Source organism: Homo sapiens, chromosome 14 (genome assembly GCF_000001405.40).
Source record: "Homo sapiens chromosome 14, GRCh38.p14 Primary Assembly".
NCBI lineage: Eukaryota > Metazoa > Chordata > Mammalia > Primates > Hominidae > Homo > Homo sapiens.
In genome coordinates this window covers 93544380-93568956 of record NC_000014.9, presented here as the reverse complement: position 1 = coordinate 93568956, position 24577 = coordinate 93544380, and the positions used below count along the sequence as shown (strand labels likewise).

The window sequence follows — 24577 nt, the reverse complement described above, 5'->3', positions numbered from 1 at the left end:
CTTTAAAAAGTAGCTTTGCCATTGACTAAAGCAACAACCTGAGGCTGAGCCACAGCCTCTATGAGATTATATATCAGGGCAACTAAAAAGATCTTAAAGGTTTCCCCCACAAATATCAATAAAAAGCATTAGCCCTTATAATGAATAGGTAAAAACTTGTTCCATCTGCCAGAAACACAATTTAAATAAAAGTGAGGCAAAGATGAAAAAGAGCTCTTATATAAACTAGTAAGTTTTTTTGTTTGTTTGTTTTTGTTTTTTGTTTTTTATTTATTTTATTTTTTTGAGACGGAGTTTCGCTCCTGTTACCCAGGCTGGAGTGCAATGGTGTGATCTGGGCTCACTGCAGCCTCCACCTCCCAGATTCAAGTGATTCTCCTGCCTCAGCCTCCCAAGCTGGGATTACAGCCACCCGCCACCACACCCAGCTAATTTTTGTATTTTTAGTACAGATGGGGTTTCACCACATTGGCCAGGCTGGTCTTGAACTCCTGACCTCAGGTGATCCATGCTCCTCGGCCTCCCAAACTGCTGGGATTACAGGTGTGAGCCCCCACACCTGGCCTAAACTAGTAAGTTTTATATCACTTTTTGAAAGTTATAAGGTCTCTATTTGTGTCTGTATGTTTGTGTATGTCTATGTGAGACAGAGTAAGGATGGAGCTTGGCTCAGCTCTCCCCCAGTAGAGCATTCTTTCACGCATTCCCACTGATCACAAAACAACACTATGCTACCTCACTGACACCATACCCATTAATAGTTATATTAAGACCCATTAATAGTCATACAAAGTGTGAAAGGAAAACCTTGGGCACCAAAATTACTAAGCTAAAGGGAAATGTCAAGCTGGGAACTGCTCAGGGCAAATCTGCCTCCCATTCTATTCAAAGTCTTCCCTCTGCCACACTGAGATAGGTGCATATCTGACTGCCTCCTTTGGAAAGGCTAATCAGAAACTCAAAAAGAATGCAACCATTTGTCTCTCACCTACCTGTGATCTGGAAGCTCCCTCCCTGTTTCGAGTTGTCCCCGCCTTTCTGGACAGAACCAATGTATTTCTTACATATATTGATTGATGTCTCATGTCTCCCTAAAATGTATAAAACCAAGCTGTGCCCGAGCACCTTGGGCACATGTCTTTCCTGAGGCTGTGTCACAGGTGCACATCCTCAACCTTGGCAAAATAAACTTTCTAAACTAACTGAGACCATCTCAGATATTCGGGGTTCACAAAAGAAAGTAGTCATTCTACTGATAAAAGAAAAACTTCAGCCGAATTAAATGCAAAGGAGTTTAATTGAGCAATAAACAATTCACAAATTGGGCAGCTTTCTGAGCCAGAGTAGGCTCAGAGACTCCAGCATAGCCACGTGGTGGAAGAAGATTTATGGACAGAAAAAGGAAAGTGACGGACAGAAAAGAAAAGTGAGGCCGGGCATGGTGGCTCACACCGGTAATCCCAGCACTTTGGGAGGCCAAGATGGGTGGATCACCTGAGGTCAGGTGTTCGAGACCAGCCTGCCCAACATGGGGAAACCCCATCACTACTAAAAATACAAAAAATTGGCCAGGCATGGTGGTGGGCACCTGTAATCCCAGCTACTTGGGAAGCCAAGGCAGGAGAATCGCTTGAACCTGGGAGGCGGAGGTTGCACTGAGCCGAGATTGCGCCACTACACTCCAGCCTGGGCAACAAGAATGAAATTCCGTCTCAAAAAAATACAACAGAAAGAAAGAAAAGTGAGTACAGAAATAGCTGGATTGGGTATAGGTTGGCATTTGCCTTTTGTGAACATGGTTCCAACAGTTGGCTACATTTGACTGGCCAAAACTCGGTGATTGGCACAGTGTAGGCTATGGTCCATTCATAACCTCCACTTGTTACAGATCACGATGTACAGAGAAACTTTTAGGCCAAACTTAAAGTATGTTTTAGGCCAAAGGATGTAAGGAGGCAGTTTTAGGTTAAACTTGATTTAACACTATATTATTCTTTTGGGCTTTCATGTTTAACCATGTCTTTTACTTAAAGAATTCCAGGCCGAGCGTGGTGGCTCAAGCCTGTAATCCCAGCACTTTGGGAGGCCAAGGTGGGCAGATCACGAGGTCAGGAGATCAAGACCATCCTTGCCAACATGGTGAAATACCATCTCTACTGGACATGGTGGTGTGTGCCTGTAGTCGCAGCTACTCAGGAGGCTGAGGCAGGAGAATCGCTTGAACCCGGGAGGCAGAGGTTGCAGTGAGCCGAGATCATGCCACTGCACTCCTGCCTGGCAACAGAGCAAGATTCCGTCTCAAAAAAAAAAAAAAAAATTCCAGAAACTGGCCTAAGGGTATCCAAAATCGAACCAAGGTTGTGGAGTGTCCCTACTCAAGAAGGAATGCTGAACTATTGATTTACAGCATTGTTGCCGCGGGCCAGACCACCAGGTGGCCTGTTACTCAAGGTAACCATCACAACCGGCTATGCTGACCTGTGTACCTTACCTTTAACATGCTCTGCCCAGCCCAGCCTGCACACCTTACCCCTGATGTCAATTCCCGCTCTTTGCCTAATAAAACAATCCCTACCAATGCTTTTTAGAAAACCAGTGGGAGGATTCTTGCACTTCCACTGTCTCCCTTGCTCTTGAGCACAAGCCCTGAAATAAAACCCTTGTCTAGGAAATCCACTTGGCCCCATGTCAATTTCCATTACATGGGGAGCCAAAGAGTCTGGTTTATAAGAGATTCTCCGGCAACCAATGCAGGTCCACAGGACATGGGGAACATTTTTCTCTCCCAAGCGGGAGGCTTGTGAGCCAGCATGATGGCCGGACCCCTCTGCAGCTGATGGGCAGCTGTCTGAAACTTCGGTTTAGTATTGCTGCAACTGGGAGTTTTCCTCCAGCCTCCCCAAGACTCCTTGCCACCCCTCTAAGCTATGCTTTCCCTCCTCTCCTGTCCCCTATTTGTTGTGTTTTTATTTTTCCTTCTTCTTCCTCCCTCCTTCCTTTCTTTTGGTTTTCACTAACTTCATCAGCTCCAACCGAATAGATACCCACACAGGACATGTTGAAATGGTGGCTTGGCTCAGCCTGAATAGTCACCCATGCAGGATGGATTGAAACAGCTGATCAGTTTAGAAAACTCTGTTTAGTGCCCTGGCTTTGAACTCTGTAATCTTCTTTAAGTCTTCTAAGTATTCTCCCTCCCTTTGCCACACCTTGTGGGGAAGGGAAGCCTGTGGACTTCCCTGTCGTCTGTCTGTTTCAGTGTGAAGCTACTGACTGTTAGTTTGCTGTTAAAGCAAACTAAATACGGCCTGAGAAGAACTCCATACTTCTATATTTGAGTCCCTGTGGATGTAACCTAGCTGTAGAAAACAACATATATGGTGGTCCATTTTCAAGACAAAATACCTTGAATACACTTCGACCTGTAAGCTATAGAAGAACAGGATACCCTAGGGCCCTGCTTTAATAGCCAGTGCCTGCTTATTGGGACCCTTTAGTTACCCTCACCCAAACCAGAGGATTTAGCTTAGAATGGAAGTTTACTAGCTTGCAAAAATAGCTCACCTTGTCTATTCCTAACAGCTCGCTTAACCCCCTGGGTCATAGGTCAAATACTTGAAGAGTCCCAGAGCTGACTACAATTACAATGCATTAAGGGCTGCAACAAAATGCAGCAAGAAGACCCTGAAGAAAGTACCAAAAGCCCCAACCCAACGACCAATAAAAAACAAGAAAAGAAACTTAGGTGACTACGTCCAGGAAGATTGTAACCCCACAGTGCTCAGCCTACAGGAACCGGGGGAGGGACTTGCGCACTAGGGGATAAATTGATTGCTGTAACTGTACCAGATGTGCCTGCTCAATGGACACCTGATCTTGCAAGACTGACAGTCAAGTTTCACTTTCGCTGTACTTCTGGTCTCTTAGCCCATTCTTTGGGTTTGGACCCGTAGGCACGCCTCTTATAATTTGGGGGAGCACATTTCTGTCAAGCCTCTGAGCCTAAGCTAAGCCATCGTAACCCCTGTGACCTGCACGTGTACATCCAGATGGCCTGAAGTAATTGGAAATTAAAAAAGAAGTGAAAATGGCCGGCTCCTGCCTTAACTGATGACATTACCTTGTGAAATTCCTTCTCCTGGCTCATCCTGGCTCAAAAGCTCCCCCACTGAGCACCTTGTGACCCCCACCCCTGCCAGCCAGAGAACAACCTCCTTTGACTGTAATTTTCCACTACCTACCCAAATCCTATAAAACGGCCCCACCCCTATCTCCCTTCGCTGACTCTCTTTCCAGACTCAGCCCGCCTGCACCCAGGTGATTAAAAAGCTTTATTGCTCACACAAAGCCTGTTTGGTGGTCTCTTCACATGGACGCGTGTGAAATTCGGTGCCGTGACTCAGATTGGGGGACCTCCCTTGGGAGATCAATCCCCTGTCCTCCTGCTCCTTCAACGTTTATTCTCCAAAGGATATCGGGTATCCCCATCCAAAGCTCAAATTTCTTCTCCATCCGTTACCTACCTCAATAGGTAACACACGTGCTCTCCCTGCCGATCATGTCCAACTGATCTCTCAAATGCCAACACCTTCTACAAAACAACAACTCCTTTCCTTCCTAGGCATGGTTGGATACTTTTGCCTTTGGATACCTGGTTTTGCCATCCTAACAAAACCATTATATAAACTCACAAATGGAAACCTAGCTGACCCCATAGATCCTAAATCCTTTCCCCACTCCTCTTTCCGTTGCTTGAAGACAGCTTTAGAGACTGCTCCCACCCTAGCTCTCCCTGACTCATCCCAACCCTTTTCATTGCACACAGCCGAAGTGCAGGGCTGTGCAGTCAGAATTCTTACACAAGGACTGGGAATGCACCCTGTAGCCTTTTTGTCCAAACAACTTGACCTTACTGTTTTAGGCTGGCCATCATGCCTCCGTGCAGTGGCTGCCACTGCCCTAATACTTTCAGAGGCCCTCAAAATCATGAACTATGCTCAACTCACTCTCTACAGCTCTCATAACTTCCAAAATCTATTTTCTTCATTTTCTTCCTCACACCTGATGCATATACTTTCTGCTCCCTGGCTCCTTCAGCTATACTCACTCTTTGTTGAGTCTCCCACAATTACCATTGTTCCTGGCCCAGACTTCAATCCGGGCTCCCACATTATTCTGGATACTACACCTGACCCCCATGACTATATCTCTCTGATCTACCTGACATTCACCCCATTTCCCCATATTTCCTTCTTTCCTGTTCCTCACCCTGATCACATTTGGTTTATTGATGGCAGTTCCACCAGGCCTAATCGCCACTCACCAGCAAAAGCAGGCTATGCTGTAGTAGTATCTTCCACATCTATCATTGAGGCTACTGCTCTGCCCCCGCTGCACTACCTCTCAGCAAGCCGAACTCACTGCCTTAACTCAGGCCCTCACTATTGCAAAGGGACTACGCATCAATATTTATACTGACTCTAAATATGCCTTCCATATCCTGTACCACCATGCTGTTATATAGGCTGAGAAAGGTTTCCTCACTGTACAAGGGTCCTCCATCATTAGTGTCTCCTTAATAAAAACTCTTCTCAAGACCACTTTACTTCCAAAGGAAGCTGGAGTCATTCACTGCAAGGGCCATCAAAAGGCATCAGATCCCATTGCTCTGGGCAACACTTCTGCTGATAAGGTAGCTAAAGAAGCAGCTAGCTTTCCAACTTCTGTCCCTCATGGCAGTTTTTCTCCTTCTCATTGGTCACTCCCACCTACTCCCCCTTTGAAACTTCCACCTATCAATCTCTTCCCACACAAGGCAAATGGTTCTTAGACCAAGGAAAATATCTCCTTCCAGCCTCACAGACCCATTGTATTCTGTCATCATTTCATAACCTCTTCCATGTAGGTTACAAGCCGCTAGCCCGTCTCTTAGAACCTCTCATTTCCTTTCCATAGTGGAAATCTATCCTCAAGGAAATCACTTCCCAGTGTTCCATCTGCTATTCTACTACCCCTCAGGGATTGTTCAGACCCCCTCCCTTCCCTTCACATCAAGCTCGGGGATTTGCCCCTGCCCAGGACTGGCAAATTGACTTTACTCACATGCCCCGAGTCAGGAAACTAAAATACCTCTTGGTCTGGGTAGACACTTTCACTGGATGGGTAGAGGCCTTTCCCACAGGGTCTGAGAAGGCCACCGCAGTCACTTCTTCCCTTCTGTCAGACATAATTCCTCGGTTTGGCCTTCCCACCTCTATAGAGTCCGATAATGGACCGGCCTTTACTAGTCAAATCACCCAAGCAGTTTCTCAGGCTCTTGGTATTCAGTGGAACCTTCATATCTCTTACCGTCCTCAATCTTCAGGAAAGGTAGAACAGACTAATGGTCTTTTAAAAACACACCTCACCAAGCTCAGCCTCCAACTTAAAAAGGACTGGACAGTACTTTTACCTCTTGCCCTTCTCAGAATTAGAGCCTGTCCTTGAGATGCTACAGGGTACAGCCCATTTGAACTTTTATGTGGACGCACTTTCTTGCTCAGCCCCAACCTCGTCCCAGACAGCAGTCCTCTAGGCAACTATCTTCCAGTCCTCCGGCAGGATAGACAGGAAATTTGCCAGGCTGCTAATCTTCTCTTGCCTACTCCAGATTCTCAGCCATATGAAGACACCCTACCTGGACAATCAGTTCTTGTTAAGAATCTGACCCCTCAAATTCTACAACCTTGATGGACCAGACCCTACTTAGTCATCTATAGTACCCCAACTGCCATCCACCTGCAGGATCCTCCCCACTGGGTTCACCGTTCCAGAATAAAGCTGTGTCCATTGGACAGCCAGCCTAATCTCTCTTCTTCCTCCTGGAAGTCGCAAGTACTCCCCACTACTTCCCTTAAACTCACTTGCATTTCTGAAGAACAGTAATAACCCTTATGAGCCTAATACATCCCTTCATTCTATTAGGTCTATTCGTCCTTACCCTACTTTTTGCAACAGGGCTTTATGCAGTCACCCCCACTACTTGGACTGCGCCCCAAAAACTGGTCATCCCTGCTGTCTTCTGTCTAGTCACACTCCTATTCACCGTTCTCAACTACTCATAAATGCCCTACTCTTGTTTATACTGCCAGTTTACACTGTTTCTCCAAGCCATCGCAGCTGATATCTCCTGGTGCTATCCCCAAACCGCCACTCTTAACTCCCTCTTAGAGTGGATAGATGATCTTTGCTGGCAGGGCACCCTCCAATACTTTCACCCTGATGAAGTTCTATTCTTTATTTTTATACTCAATCTTATTCTCATTCCCATTCTTATGCCACCCTCTACCTCTCCCCAGCTATCTCCACCACACTATCAATCTTACTCACTCTCTCCTAGCCATTTCTAATCCCTCCTTAGCGAGCAATTGCTTGCTTTGCATTTCCCTTTCCTCCTGCGCCTACACAGCTGCCCCCGTCTTATATACAGGCTGGGAAACATCTCCTGTCTCCCTACACCTCCAAACTTCCTTTAATAGCCCTCACCTTTACCCTCCTGAAGAACTTCTTTACTTTCTAGACAGGTCCAGCAAGACCTCCCCAGACATTTCACATCAGCAAGCTGCTGCCCTCCTCCACACTTACTTTAAAAACCTTTCTCCTTATATCAACTCTACTCCCCCCATATTTGGACCCCTCACAACAAAAACTACTTTTCCTGTGGCTGCTCCTTTATGTATCTCTCAGCAAAGACCCACTGGAATTCCCCTTCTTGATGTTCCTTCACTCTTCATCTCCAAAGCCCAACTACATACATCACTGAAACAATTGGAGCCTTACAGCTCCATATTACAGATAAGCCTTCTATCAATACTGGCAAACTTAAAAACATTAGCAGTAATTATTGCTTAGGAAGACACCCTGTATTTCCCTCCATCCTTGGCTACCTTCCCCTTGCTCTTCAGACTCTCCTCCCAGGCCCTCTTCTTGTTTACTTATACCCAGCCCCATAAATAACAGTGAAAGGTTGCTCGTGGGCACTCAACGTTTTCTCATACACCATGAAAATCGAGCCTCTCCCTCTATGCAGTTACCCCATCAGTCCCCATTACAACCTCTGACGGCTGCCGCCCTAGCTGGATCCCTAGGAGTCTGGGTACAAGACACCCCTTTCAGCATTCCTTCTCATCTTTTTACTTTGCATTTCCAGTTTTGCCTGGCACAAGCTCTCTTCTTCCTCTGTGGATCCTCTACCTACATGTGGCTACCTGCTAATTGGACAGGCACATGCACACTAGTTTTCCTTACTCCCAAAATTCAATTTGCGAATGGGACCGAAGAGCTCCCTGTTCCCCTCATGACACTGAGATGACAAAAAAGAGTTATTCCACTAATATCCTTGCTTGTCAGTTTACGACTTTCTGCCTCCACTATTGCTCTCGATACTAGAATGGCAGGCATTTCAACCTCTATCACGACCTTCCGTAGCCTCTCTAATGACTTCTCTGCTAGCATCACAGAGATATCACAAACTTTATCAGTCCTTCAGGCCCAAGTTGACTCTTTAAGCTGCAGTTGTCCTCCAAAACTGCCGAGGCCTTGACTTACTCACTGCTGAAAAAGGAGGACTCTGTATATTTTTAAATGAAGATTGTTGTTTTTACCTAAATCGATCTGGCCTGGTACATGACAACATAAAAAAACTCAAGGATAGAGCCCCAAAACTCACCAACCAAGCAAGTAATTACGCTGAACCCCCTTGGGCACTCTCTAATTGGATGTCCTGGGTCCTCCCAATTCTTAGTCCTTTAATACCTATTTTTTTCTTTCTTTTATTCAAACCTTGTACCTTCCGTTTAGTTTCTCAATTAATCCAAAACCGTATCCAGGCCATCACCAATCATTCTATACGACAAATGCTCCTTCTAACAATCCCACAATATCACCCCTTACCACAAAATCCTCCTTCAACTTGACCTCTCCTACTCTAGGTTCCCAAGCCGCCCCTAATCCCGCTTGAAGCACCCCTGAGAAACATCGCCCATTATCTCTCCATGCCACCCCCCAAAAAATTTTCCCTGTCCCAACACTTCAACACTATTTTATGTTATTTTTCTTATTAATATAAGAAAACAGGAATGTCAGGCCTCTGAGCCCAAGCTAAGCCATCGTATCCCCTGTGACCTGCACAGATATGTCCAGATGGCCCGAAGAAAGTGAAGAATCACAAAAGAAGTGAAAATGGTCGGTTCCTGCCTTAACTGATGACATTCCACCACAAAAGAAGTGAAAATGGCCAGTCCCTGCCTTAACTGATGACATTACCTTGTGAAATTCCTTCTCCTGGCTCATCCTGGCTCAAAAGCTCCCCCATTGAGCACCTTGTGACCCCCACCCCTGCCAGCCAGAGAACAACCCCTTTGACTGTAATTTTCCACTACCTACCCAAATCCTATAAAATGGCCCCACCCCTATCTCCCTTTGCTGACTCTCTTTTTGGACTCAGCCCACCTGCACCCAGGTGATTAAAAAGCTTTAGTGCTCACACAAAGCCTGTTTGGTGGTCTTTTCACACAGACGTGCATGAAAATTTCCTCCACTAGCTTAGTAGTCAGAAAAGATTAAAAACCTAACTTAGTAGTATGTGCCAATAACTGAGTCTTGGCCGTTGAAGCGGCCATACCTCAACCACTCATATAGACTGCTAAGTGTTCAAACTGTGTTCAGATAAGGCAAGCGCCAACCTGTAACCAATCCAGCTGTTTCTGCACCTCACTGCCAATTTCTGTAGGTCACTTCCCTGTTTTTGTTTATAAATCTTTATACTCCAGCACAGCACACATAGCTGTTGTGCTGGAGTCTCTGTGAATCAGCTGTGATTCTGGGGGCTGCCCAATTCACAAATTGTTCATTGCTCATTAAGCTCTTTTAAATTTAATTCAGCTGAAGTTTTTCTTTTATCAGTGCTGTCTTTGAGAGGAGAGAATTGGCAGCACATGGGTCCAGAGTCTGTATCACTCACATCCTGATCCATTTTTCCTTTTTTTGTGTTTAATTTGACATCTTATTCCCCCATGCGGCCCACTGGGTGGCATCTTGGAAAAATGAGAAGCTTCTGTCTAAGGTTCCATGAAACAGAAAAGGAAGATTTTCTATTATAACGCAGCTTGGCCTCCACAGTTATGGCACAGCGAACAGGGTCATCAAAAGCTGCTCTGCTCTTATGGAAGCTGCAGAGACAGGGAAACCAAAACCCTGGCATGCAGGCAAAAGGGTAAGAATTTCTTACCAGCCAGGGCCCCGGCCTCTCGCTCTCTGTGCAAACCAGTTAAGTAAATGGTAAAAAAAAAAAAAAAAAAAAAAAAAAAAAAAAAAAAAAAAAAAATCCCTGTTTCTCTCCTCTACAAGATTTTTTTTTTTTTTTAAATGGAGTCTTGCTCTGTCCCCCAGGCTGGAGTGCAGTGGCGCGATCTCGGCTCAATGCAAGCTCCGCCTCCGGGGTTCACGCCATTCTCCTGCCTCAGCCTCCTGAGTAGCTGGGACTACAGGCACCCGCCACCGCACCGGGCTAATTTTTTGTATTTTTAGTAGAGACGGGGTTTCACCGTGTTAGCCAGGATGGTCTCGATCTCCTGACCTCATGATCTGCCCGCCTCAGCCTCCCAAAGTGCTGGGATTACAGGCGTGAGCCACCGCGCCCAGCCTGCAAGGTTTTGATTAATGAGAAAAAAGATGTGGGAAACTAGTCTTAGGTTGTAGCGAATCTGCTGTACTGTGATATGAATTTGTTGTTCTGCGTTGTTCTGTCATGGAGGGGTTGCCACAGAATAGAATGTGGGTGTAGGACCCCTATAAGTCTGCTGTTTGAGCCAGCCCTGCAGATTGGTCAGCTACAAACTTCGCTATGGGTCCCTGAAACAAAAACCAAATGTAGTTTCCCTCTTGTCTTGTTTTATGTCCTTGAAAGCTTGACTTTTTGACCATGTGGGGGTATTCTCTCTCAGTCTCTGCCATCCACAGGGTGGAAATTTTCAGGTTCATGTAAGGCAGCCAGTCTGAAAGGACACATGATAATGTCATGGCTAGCCTTAAGGATTCTCTTAAGCAGTTAAAATCCTTTGCAAACTTGAAACTGTCTGCTCTAGATTACTTCTGGGAAGAACAATACTGTAGCTCTGTGGCTAAGGCTTTGCCCATTCATGATGGTGGCATGGGTTCAATTCCCATCTTAGGGAATGAGTCCCTTCTGGTTTGATATTTATCTGACCTTTGCCATTTATTTATTCTTTTTCCCTCCATTGTCTTTGTGACCATATGGGGGTACTCTCTCTCCATCTCTACCATTCAGAGGGCGGAAATGTTTAGGTTATGTCAGGCAGCTTGTGATTTTCTGTCTAGAATTTTCCTTTCTCTGAGCTATCTAGGAGGCGATTCTACATCTTGTAAAAACTGCTTGCAATCTCTTTGTTGATACTTTGTGCAGCTATGGTTAAATCATAACCTTCATTAAGGCTTATTGGATTTGTTAGGGAAGCAGGAGCCTAGGAGAGCCAGAGTAACCCCATTTTAAGTTCAGCTCCATCTTCAGATTAACTGGGCATATTCCTTGTTGGTCACTACCCACAGTCATGAGATATTTACAGTTGAGGAAACAGCCTAAGATACCGGCAAAGACACTCCCACAACAGCAGAAAGTCCAGATGTCCCAATACCCATAACAAAATATGGCTTCAAGATTGTTATAGTTATGGTTTGATGTATTCACACACTAAAACATCAAGGATAGTTTTCTTTAAATCAATAGAATATAAATTTTGTCACACTCTCTGCTCACACTTACATAGACATGGCTTAGCTTAGCTTTTATATAGAGATGACCCCTATACAAGAAAAACTTAAGGATGTCCTTCTCTGTAATGGAGTAGCTTTCAATAAACTCTCTCTTCTCACTGCACTCTGCCACTCACCTTGAATTCCCTCCTGCATGAGATCCAAGAACCCTCTCTTGGGGTCTGTATCAAGACCCCTTTTACTGGTAACAGTTGCACTTGGGAAAATCCCTTTGGGAGAATAAAAGGCTTAAATGCCAGAGGCATTGGCTGTTTGTCCCTAACAGCCAGGCAATGGTCTGGAAATTAAAGATTTAAAAGAGTTTTTTTTAAAGAGCTCTATGGTAAATGATATTAATTAAAAGGGGATAGCCAAGCTATACATACATTTAAAAGGCCATTAGGCTTTTTTCTCTTCTTGGATCTTGTTTTTTTGAAAAAAAGGTTTTTGGGTTTTTTTTTTTTCTCAGTCAATTGAATTGTTTCTCCATTTACTCTGTCCTCTGGCACACACGCCCTCACTGCCCTGCATGAGAGGACTTAAGGTAATTTCTGACAGCCTGGAACTCCTTGAGAGAAACAGAAGAGGCACCACAGACTCCTGTTTTGGGAGAAACCTCTGTTTTCCAAGTAGAACCCAAAGAATTACACGCAGACTGATACTTCCCAAAATCTGAGGCTCTGTTCTGTTTTGCATTATGTTACCTGATCTTTTTGACTTTTGGGGGCATCAGAAATTATTTTGCATTACTTAGAAATGTTGAATCTTAATGTGCAATAGCTAAATAAGAGGCATATTTTTTTAAATGTCCAATAGCAGTTGCTTACAGTGAGTGGCTATTACCACAGGGTGATACTCCTTTTTTTTTGTGTTTACATACATAAAAAGCCATGCTCTTGGGCAACTAGAAGGTATGAAATGGGGGATGGGCTGATTACAGAGCAGACTAGTTGATGTTGGGTTGTCCAGCAGCCTTGGGGAAATGTCCTTACAATAAAACATGCTGTGAAAGCATTGCACTGTCTTGTCTCATAGCACTTGCCTCTTTGCGGGGACCCAGTATTTGGTGTGGAAATGGGATCCTTGATTTTGGGAGATCTGTTCTGCCTTCCAGCTGTGCCCACCTACTAGGCCCTAAAAACTGCATGCTTTCCTGGCCTTGTTCTTTAAAAGGCTCCACCCTGAACCCAATTTAAAAACTTACATCTTTAAAGAAATCTCCACATGTAAGGGTATCTGTTTTCCCTGGCTGTCTCACCTAAACTTTTACTCACACCATTTCTCCCTTGGTTTAAGTAAAATATAAATTATCTATCTTATTTCACCTAAGAATTGTCCCTTTTAAAATGCAAAATCAGAGTTACCTCACTGATAATTATTTAGGGCAGAGAACAGATAATCAAAAGATTGATGCTTTATCTAAAATAAAATGAGAAAGAAATCTTGGCCAGGTGTGGTGGTTCACACCTGTAATCCCAGCACTTTGGGGGCCTGAGGCAGGTGGGTCACTTTAAGCCAGGAATTTGAGACCAGTCTGGTCAACATGGTGAAACCCCATTTCTACTAAAAATACAAAAATTAGCCGGGCATGGTGGCGTGCACCTGTAGTCCCAGCTACTTGGGAGGCTGAGGCAGGATAATCACCTGAACCCAGGAAGCAGAGGTTGCAGTGAGCCAAGATCACACCACTGCTCTCCAGCCTGGGTGACAGAGAGAGACTCCATCTCAAAAATTAATTTAAAAAAAAGGAAGAAAATCTTAAAAACTGGCAAATGAAGAATCTTATAACTCTACCAGATCTGCTTCTCTGTCTGTGTATTTATATGTGTCATGTATGTATGTGATGTCTTACTACCAAGATATGTAAAAGACATCCAATGAATTGGCTTAAAGAAAAATAAATGCTTAAATAAAATATTTTATCAGAAAAATAAACACTTTAGTTCACATGGCTTTAGTAATCTTTGGTAAATAAAGACAGTTTTAAAGACTATTAATGAAATAAAATTAAATGTCTTTAAAATTTAGGCATTCAGTCTAAATTAGGCAGGTCAGGAACTGCCCTTGCTAGATGCTTTAAGATTATAAACTGCTTCTATGACTTTTGATAACTGTTTGACTTGCCTGCTTTGGGGCCATTAGATTCTAGGTAAGGCCTGGGGATATATAGAATTAGACACACTCCCTAGCTATACTGGAAAAGAGTCACATATTACCTGTAGTTCCCAGGCTCTGCACTTGGTACAGAATTAAAGTTGCATACACTAAAAATTAAAATTAGGTGTTTTTAAGAAAAAGGCATGGGAATGTAGTTTTTAAAAGACAAACTATTTTGCCTAATTTAGAGGTTGTTTAAGGATTGTTTTGGGTTAAAAGAAAGATAGAATATAACTGAAAGTTTAAGCCAGTTAGAGATGGTTTGTGAAAGATTAATCTTGAAACAGAAATTCTGTGTATGAGCTAGTTGGCTAAAAGGGTATTATTTAGTTTTTCCATAAATTAAATATTAAAATAAAAGCTTGCTAACACAGGGCCAGAATCTGGGCTCATGTGTCAGAATAATAGGGTTTTCCTGGAGCATTTATCTGCTCTTAAACAAAAAATTTGCAAAGGGTTATAAAAATCTTACCTTATGGTCAAACTGGTTAAAATTAGATAGCTTCATCAAATGTTATTGAAATTAGCTTTAGTATTAATATACTAATGCAAAGGTAAAATTTCATTTTCCCTTTTGAGCAAGATTTTCATTCGCCTACAGGAAAAAGAGAGAGACAGAATTTTTTTTTTTTTTTTTTTGAGACAGAGTCTTGCTTCAGCCAGTCACCCAGGCTGGAGTACAATGGCATGGTCTCAACTCACTGCAACCTCCGCCTCCTGGGTTCAAGTGACTCTCCTGCCTCAGCCTCCCGAGTAGCTGGGACTGCAGGCATGTGCCACCACACACAGCTAATTTTTGTATTTTTAGTGGAGATGGGGTTACACTGTGTTGGCCAGGCTGGTCTCAAATTCCTGACCTCGTGATCTGCCCACTCGGCCTCCCAAAGTGCTGGGATTACAGGCATAACCCACCATGCCCAGCCATGCTGTCTTTACTGGGTCTGGTTATTTAGAAAGCTGAGTCCTCTCTCTGTGAAAGACTAAAGGATTTTTGCTGTTTAGAAATCTTTGAGTTAATCATGTTGGTTAAATAAATAAACTGTGGTCCTATTTTGTGATGTCAAGTGTTTTAAATTTTGATATTTGACAAGCTTTCCAAAATAAAATCCTGAATTAAGCCTTTTTTGACCTAATTAACCATTTTGTGTAGTAGGTCCTCTGAGGTCCAAAAGAGACATATGCAGCTTATTTGGTGTATCAAAACCATACAGGAAACACTATCACATTTAAAATGGTGTTTAGCTTTTTTTAGATTATAGTCACATAAATGTGTGATTAATATGTATTCCATAGTTATATGAGATTCCTATGATTCTGATATGCCTAAGTATCTGCTATCAATAACAATTAAGATTGTTACATTAAATTGTGTGCCACAGAAATGACCAGATTTCCCTGTTGATTGCATCTTTAACTGTGGCTGTCCTAAGACTCTTGTCATCCACAGACAATTGTCTTGTTTTAATCTATTCCAAAAGAAGATTTATAATCAGCTAAAGGACTCTCATGGATACTCTTGGATGCAGGTCTCTGACAACCTGGAGACTGAGCCATTAGAATAGAGGGAAAAACTTGTAAGACCCTCTTGGAGATCTAATGTGTCCATAAATATCAAGCAGAACAGGAGTTAATTTCATGGACTAAACAAATAGGAGATTGAAATAATCTGTTTATGACCTTTTCTTCCAGAAATGCTGCTGACCCTTTTTGTTTTGTTTTTCAGAGTCAAGAAAACTTTTTTCCCTTTTAAACCATTTACAACTTTTAACAATTGAGTAAACTACAACCTATAAGCAAAATTTTGAGCATGTTTCTTTCTCTCTACCTGATTTCTGCAGAATTTGGAAACTATATGTGAGTATTCTTAACTTATGGCAATATAGTTGTTTGCATACATGCAATAAGAATCTGTTTTCTTTTGTAACAGGACACAACTGGGGAAACTGGTTATTTTATCAAGGCTTTATGAGAATGACATGCTTTCATACTGCTTTTCTAAAAATTGAGGTTGACTTCTAAAGCCGATAAAACCCCATTGGAAAAACTGCCCTCATATCCTGTCTATGCAGTCCTTGTACAGGGTTCCTGACCTATGGTAAGTAAAGACTGTCACTTTCTAACAGGTCCAGGAGCCCCAAGTTATCTTTGGACTTCAAGAGGGGAGGAATTCACCCAATTCATACAAGTGTTTGCAGGCACAGATGAATCCATAGCTAGGCTCACAGCTTTAAAAAGTCTAATCTGAGAATCCTTACAAAACAAAGTTCCAGCAAAGCCAATTAAAAAAAAAAGTTTATATGGCAAATAATTATTCTTGCTGCACTTCACGCAAATAATCAAAACAAGTATAATGAAACTAAAGTTTAATTTGCAAACACATCAATCCTACAATAATTTGTCTTTGATAAAAATGAGAGACTGGAGAGAAAAAGAGTATAATATACCTGTTGTAGGTTCTAGTCTTATCTGTTGTTTTTGAGCTTTTTAATATTATTTTCTGAGCTGCAAGTCTCCAAACTAACATTTTAAAAATTTTCTTCCACTTTTCTGACTTAATGAAATTGCTACTACCTTTTTCCTAAGGCCCTGCAAACTAAGGCTTATTCTTTATAATACAAGCAAAAAAACATGAAAAATTGCCACCACCCTCCTCCATAACTAAAGATGCTTTGAGCCTAATAACTGGGTAGATTATGCCCACCATTAACAGTTGTTTTTCTTTTGTTTCCATAGAAATGTCTCTTATTAAAAGTATGTTTGCCTTATATTTCACACACCAGGAGACTCATTCTCCAGCCTATTCACTTAAATTCCAAATGGCAGCTGATTTCTTCTCATAGCATTATTAAACTGGACTTAGGCATTTTATTAATTATCACTGGGTGCTATTTGATTTTTAAAATAATTATTTGTTATATTCAACAGGCGTACAGATGGTTAAAGTTTATGCCTTCCAGGCTTCAACAGTTCTAAGTCAAGCTAATGATGGCCCAAGGATTCCAACCCATACCATCCCAGAAGGATTCTAGTCCCTACAGGTCTCTAGAACAGTCAGTGAGAGATTTCTATGTTCCTCTGAGGTTAGACAGGGACAACAACCCTGTTCAGCATAGCTGTTCAGTATAGCTTCAGAAGATGAGATCTTCAGCCCTTTTTCCTTAAGAATAAAGAGAGTGAAATATCTCAGAGGGGAATGAGACAGTAAGGGTGGGGCTTGGCTTCAGCTCACACCCACTAGAGCATTCTTTCATACATTCCCACTGATCTCAAAACCCACACCACTACCTCACCAATGCGTATCCATTAATAGTCATACAAAGAAAACAGCCATTCTGTATTGTTCTTCTGTGCTTTTATATGTTTAACCATGCCTCTTACTTAAACAATTCCAGACACTGGCCTTAGGAGATCCAAAATTAAACTAAGGTTCCTGAGTCTCCCATCTCGGGAAGGAATGCTGAACAACTGATTTACAGCCTTGTTGCCACTGGCCAGACCAGCAGGTGACCCATAACTCAAGACAACCATCACAACCAGCTTTGCTGACCTGCATACCCTACCTCTAACATGCACTGCCCAACCCAGCCTGTATACTCTACCGCCGATGTCAATTCCCATGCTTTGCCTTAAAAAAATAAATCCTGGCCGGGCACGGTGGCTTACGCCTGTAATCCCAGCACTTTGGGAGGCCGAGGCGGGCAGATCATGAGGTCAGGAGATTGAGACCATCCTGGCTAACACGGTGAAACCCCGTCTCTACTAAAAATACAGAAGATTAGCCGGGCTTAGTGACGGGCGCCTGTAGTCCCAGCTACTCGGGAGGTTGAGGCAGGAGAATGGCATGAACCCGGGAGGCGGAGCTTGCAGTGAGCCGAGATTGCGCCACTGCACTCCAGCCTGGGCTACAGAGCGAGACTCCGTCTCGATTTAAAAAAATAAAATAAATAAATAAATAAATAATAAAATAAAAAATAAATCCTACCAGCTCTTTTTGGGGAACCAGCTCGGGGATTCTTGTGCCTCCACTGTCTGCCTTGCACTTGAGAACAAGTCCTGAAAATAAAGCCTTATCTAGGAAGTCCTCTTGGCCCCATATTAATTTCCATTACATGGAGAGCCAAGGAGCCTGTGGTCTGTAACATATGTATATACATTATGTGTATGTGGTATCTTCTTATCTCCAGAAAATATTGCCAAATTGCTTTATAAAATTCCTTGAGAGACCTCTATTCTAAATGGGTTTTGTGAAACAAGTAACTCAAAATTGAAGCTGTTGGAACTTTATATTTAAGGGAATGTGATTATGGGACCTGAGTCATGTAAACAGGCAGCTGCAACCTAGGCAACTGTAACCTTGTTTTTCTAATTACAGATTAGCCTTTTTTCTTACTTACATTATTTTGTAAAATGTAGTAAATGACTAAATTGAGCCAGGGAAGACTCCTTCCTCTTTTTTTTTTTTTTTTTTTTTTTTTTTGATACGGAGTCTTGCTCTGTCTCCCAGGCTGGAGTGCAGAGCCGCGATCTTGGCTCACTGCAACCTCCGCCTCCCGAGTTCAAGCAATTCTCCTGCCTCAGCCTCCCAAGTAGCTGAGATTACAGGCACATGCCACCATGCCCAGCTAATTTTTGTATTTTTAGTAGAGACGAGGTTTCACCATGTTGGCCAGGCTAGAACTTCCCTCTTTCCTCTCTCACAGAGACTTCATGACTATCATATTGTCTAGGATGAAATGTTAAACATACTCTTTTAAATTGGAAAGGCAACGAAAACTAGCTGTATGGAAATGAAAACAAACTGTAACTAACTAAATTGTTGCAATTTATAAACCAACCTTGTGTAGAAAATGTTATAATCCTGCTAAATTTCTTTGTTTTCTGCCTATATAAGCAAGGCCTTCACTTTTAACTGCAGAGCACTGACCCCGTTTCTCTGAAGTCCATGTTTGCTGAATGGCCATTTCCAGCTTTTTGCTTAAATACATGCTTTAAAACTGGTTTCTGATCCTTTTGATTAATTCAGATTGACAGTTGCAAAACATATACACTTACATGTTAAATTAAGTCTAGCCTAAAGCTGTCTTCTTACATATTCTAAGTTTGGCCCAACAGTTTCTACATATACATAGTGAACTGTAACCTAGCTGCATGTATAAACAGATTGTAACCTACTCTTGTGCCAATCACTGACTTTTGGCCAATCAAAGGCAGCCAACTGTTAATAAGGCAAACATCAGGATGTAACCAATCTGGCTGTTTCTGTACCTCATTTCCATTTCCTGTACATTTCTTTTCCTGTCTTTTTTTTCCACCACATGGCTATGCTGGAGCCTTTCTGAATCTATTCTGGTTCAGAGGCTGCCTGACTTGTGAGTTGTTCTTTGCTCAATTAATCTCTGTTAAATATAATTTGTCTAAGGTTTTTATTTTAACATATATAAATTAAATATTCCTAAAACTCTCAGAAATATAGGAACTAACCCAAATGCTTTCAGGTGTACGTGATTTCAGTAAATCTGTAAATGAGACAAGTATAATATTGTTGGTTTAATAAAAACAGCTGTGTTTTCAGAGTTATCAGCATTGAGTACCATGCTGAGCACACGTTTTGCTTCTACCTGGGCTTACTACTCAAATAAACTAATATATTTACCAATGTTTAAAATTATAGAATATACAGATTTGATTTTAATTAAACAGAATCATTATTCTGACAAAGTTTATAGCAACAGTAATTGTGTTTTATAATGTTTCTGCTTAGATGTAGTTTTCAGAATCTTTTTGGTAACTTGAAACCTTAACGGTATACTAAGTTAAATTAAATGGCAGGTATTCACTGAAAATCTAGATCACTTCTAAGTAGGATAAAATATTAACACATTAATTGCTGATCATAAGTTTATCTGCTTTTAGCTTCTTATTTTTTACAAATGCTAAAGACATTTGGGTTTGTTAAAAAGGATGTTCTTTTTGCCACATTGGGGAATCATACTAAGAAGAATTTGCATCTAGAAATTGTGAGATTGTATATTCACAAAATTTGCTAAAATGCCAAAAAATGCTGATATACAATAGGCAATTCACAGTTGTCTAATAGTTTTCTCTGGAAAATAAAGGATAATAAGAGTTGAAAATTATAATCAATCATATGTAAATTGAACTACTAGACATAATCAGGATGAAGGAAAAACCTCTGTGTGCAAAGTATTCAAGTAATGTAGAATGTGGTTTTGTTACAGGAAAAAGAGCAATTCTTTCCTAAAGGAGCTGTTTACTCATTATTCCTGAATGAGGAAGAGGAAAGGACCAAAACCTGAAAGGGAAGTATGGGGAAGACAGAGAAAGAGAATTTTATCTTGTGTGGTCATGTTGGCTAAGATTGAGTAGATTTACTGTGAGGTTTTTAAATGAGCTTTAATATTAACAGTGTACTGATGCAAAACCAGAGTTTCATTTTCTCTCTCTTAAAAAAACAACATTTTTTAGATTATCTTATTTCTGTTCTTAATAAGAGGTTGTAAAAGGTTTTTCTTTACCTTTTGAAAAATCTGCCTAGGAAACTACCACAGTCTGAATATTTGTGTCCCCGCAAAGTTCTTAGGGTGAAACCTAATCACCAATGTGATGATGTTAGAAGGTGGGGCCTATTGGGAGGTGACTAGATCATGAGAACAGAGCCTTTATGAATGAACGCCCTTGTAAAAGGGACCTCAGAGAGCTACCTTGCCCCTTCCACCACATAAGGACACTGCCAGAAAGCACTATCTATGAACCAGAACGTAGGCCCTCACCAGACACTAAATCTGCCTTGATCTGGGACTTTCCAGCCTCCACAACTGTGAGAAATTTGTTGTTTATAAGCTACCCAGTCTATGGTATTTTTTTGCAGCCCAAACAAACTGAAGAAACTAAGACAGAAACAAAGACTCTGTGTCTTATCAGAATAATTTCCTGTGTTTTTTTTGTTTTTGTTTTTGTTTTTGATTTTTTGTTGTTTGTTTTTTTGAGACAGGGTCTCACTCTGTCACCCAGGCTGGAGTGCAAGTGCGTGATCATGGCTCACTGCAGTCTCAACCTCCCAGTGATCCTCTCACCTCAGCCTCCCAAGTATCTGGGACTACAGGTGCGAGCCAACATGCCAGGATAATTTTTTTTTTATTTTTTGTAGAGACAAGGTCTCCCTAGGTTGCCCAGGCTGATCTCAAACTCTTGGGCTCAAGTGATTCTCCAACCTCGGTCTCCCAAAGTGCTGGGATTACAGGCATGAGCCACTACTCCTGGCCTTCCTGTGCTTTTTGTCTTTATCATGTCCTAGACTATTTAAGAGAACCAAGTCTTCTAAATATTAAAAGAGCTAAGTTTTGTTTCTCTTTTTGTTTCTTACAATTGTGTTGCTCCCTATATTTACTTTTGAAATCTCTTAGTGTCATATAGGTTAAATAAATAACTAAGAATTGTTTCACAGTGACCTGTAATGTTGGTTAATCAAGTACTCAAATCTTTTGACATTTCTGATAACTTTTGATATTTTGCCTTTCCAAAGCCAAATCCTAAATAAAATCCTGGTCTTGAACTGACCTGAAATTTCCCAGAGGGACGCTTGAAAATCTCAAAGGATTTGTTCTTACCTATAAAAAGATACATTAAACTAATTAGGTTTATTTGATAAGTTGAAGTCTATGGAAAGCGTTGTCAAATAAAAAGAGATGTTTAACTGTCCTTAGGTTACATTTGTATAGGTAAATGTTATGAATACAAATATTTCGGGAATTATATAAAGTTCCTAGAAATTTGTCAATGCCCTTGCTGGCATGATACATCTTTATGCTTCTTTGTCTGATGGTAGACAACAATGACAAAATATTATCAGTTATCATTTTGTTATTATTTTAATGTTTCATGCTACAGAAACAACAAAACTGCCTTGTCAACTGTGTCACAGTGAACTTTCAGCAGATCTTTAACTATGACTATTTTAAGCCTTTTGTCATTCAGATAGTAATTGTTATCTGATGTTTCTCTGAAAACTCTTGCAATCAGCTACTAGCAAAAATGCTTATTTTCAACATAAACAGATTGTCTCTGAGATCCATGGAAAGGACTATGACAGGTACCCTGGGGTACAGGCTTCTGGTGGCATTGCTTAAATAATTGAGATCATACCACTGGAATGAGTAAGGATTGCCAGAACTCTAGTGGAGCAGCTAATGGGTTCATTAACTGCTAACTCAATCAAGCAGAACAAGACTGAATTACATAGGACTGAATGATAAATGATTATAATTTGTATCGTTTTTTGTTTAGAACATTGCTAGTTTTTCAATCAATGTTCTGTTTTTCAGATACAAGGAACCCCTTTCTCTTTTCTCCTAAGCTATCTATAACTCACAATAATTTGGTAGATTTATACCTTTGTAAACAAACATGAAATATATCTTTTTTCTCTCTACTTGATTCCTCCAGAATTCAGAAGCTCTTATTGAATATTCCTATTTTCATAGCATTATAGCTATTTGCATAAGTTGAATAACAATCTGTTCTGCTTTTAACAGGACATAATTGGGAAACTTGGTTATGAAACCACCTTTGCAAAAATTATGACAGTGAGAAAATAATGACAGTGGAGGAGATCGGATCTAGCCAACCCCCCTCTTGCCTTTAGCATTTAAACTGCCAAACTAGCTTTGGGAGATATTTAGCTTATAGTTTAAATGATAGTAGCCCTTCTCCAAAATTCAAATGCCTTTCTAAAGAGACCACAAGGCTATGAGGAGGAAAGGAGCCTGAATTCAGCTAAGGTGTAGACATAAATGGTTGCCAGCTGTTATTCCAGAGGTCACAAGATATGCAGCTTCTCCAATTATTCCTGCGGATAACATCACTATGATAGAACCTAAGATTGGCCTTTTGAGATAGCTTTTCATGTTTTTTTGCATGTCTGACACCCATGGCTCCACCTGGAGCCATGTCCTCCTGTGTCCGCACCCATAATCAACTCAGCATAAGAGGACAGCTTCAACTCCCTATGATTTCATCTCCAACCCAACCATCAGCAGCAGCAAACATCCACTGCCTAGCCACCCCTACTCCTTCCTCCAAATTGACTTTGAGAAACCCCTAACCTACAAGCCTTTGATGAGACTGATTTGAGCAATAACTCAGTCTCTCGTGTGGCACGGCTGGCCTCATGTCAATTAAACTCTTTCTATACTCAATTCCGTGAATCGATGTTGTTTGTGCAGCAGGCAGGAAGAACCCATCAGGCAGTTACAGTTATATTACTAAGTCTTTGCAGAATGTCATATTTGTGAATTGCATGGAATCTGATATGACTAAACAGTTTTAAGGAACTAAGATTGACTTTATGGAGCCAGGGTTTTCAAAGCCCTCTTGGAAAAACAGATTCGATACCTGCATTACAGAATTCTCAGCCTTACAGATGAGTAAAAAAGGTCACTTCCTAGGAAACTTAGAATATTTGGGAGACCTCAAGGAGAAAGGAATTCACCCAAATCTATAAGTATTACAGATGAAATCTGGTGACAAGTTCTTGGCCTGACTTCTAGCATCAAGAAACCTCTAAAAGTCCAATCTGAGATTCCTTTTAAGAGTTCTGGCAATGCAAACTTTAAAAAGCCCTAAGTGGTCAATTACCATTCTTGCTGTGCTTGTGCAAATGATCAGACCAAATTTAAAGAGACTAATTTTGTAACCAAAAGTAATCTTACTTTGATTATTTTTGGTCAAAATGCAGGTGATTGTAAAGAGAAATTTTATGTTTTGATGAAAAACTATAACCCACCCTTGTGAGTGATCAGATTCTAGTCCTGTTCATCACCTTTGAGATAGTTTTCACCTCTTTGTAAACTAGATCCTTCTGTCTTGCCCATTTTGCCAGTAATTAACACTTCTAACTTTTCTCCTACCCACCTGACATGGCACCACTGAGAACTAAAACCTAACTTCCTAGATCATTATTAAGACTCTGGGTTATCTTGTTACAAAGCCCTAAAAGCTGAAGTGGGACAATATGATATAAAATTCAAAGGACTTATTGCTACAACAGTTTGGTCCACTCAGGAAGTTCACCAAACACTCACCTCTTCTCTGCTCTGCTCTGGAAAATAACCATAACTGTGACACCGATGTTCTCACTCCACCGTCTAAACATGCTTCAAGACCAACATCTAGACATCTTCTCAACTGTCTGCCCTCCGTACTCAAAACCTAGATTTATAATCTATCCCAACCATTAATCTGTGCTTTTCTGGTTCCTCATTCTATGCTCTTGTTCTCCTCTGCAGATCTCTTACCTCACAATTTCTAGCCTAAATCTTCCCTCTATAGAAATCAACCTAGCTTCTTTCATGTATGTTGAAACTTCAAGGGAAGTTTCAGATGAGGGAAATGTTATCCACCAAAACCCTACAGTTGGTATAAAGAGTATTTTAAAGTGAAAACATTTAAGCTAAAGAAGATGCAAAAAGAAATCTTAGCCGAACTTCCGTTATGTGACTCTAGCAGAGTCTCCAGAGAAAACCCTTCTGTTAACCCCCCCGAAAGGGAGTTTCCTGTGGATTCAGCTGCTGTGGAGATAGCCCAGTTCCTGCCC

The 24577-nt window shown here is 41.4% G+C and overlaps 1 protein-coding gene across 32 annotated transcripts in view, besides 1 other annotated feature; it reads right to left on the bottom strand.

The window, feature by feature from the left end:
- Positions 1–24577, bottom strand: part of UNC79 (unc-79 subunit of NALCN channel complex) — a 374695-nt gene that overhangs the window by 138920 nt on the left and 211198 nt on the right. The gene's annotated exons all lie outside the window — the stretch shown is intronic.
- Positions 9022–9524: an enhancer, noted in NCBI's record as "NANOG hESC enhancer chr14:94025779-94026281 (GRCh37/hg19 assembly coordinates)". NCBI's record gives its function as "activates a minimal SCP1, AML or CMV promoter by ChIP-STARR-seq in naive H9 embryonic stem cells {active_cell/tissue: H9 hESC(naive)}" and the evidence as "EXISTENCE:reporter gene assay evidence [ECO:0000049][PMID:30033119]".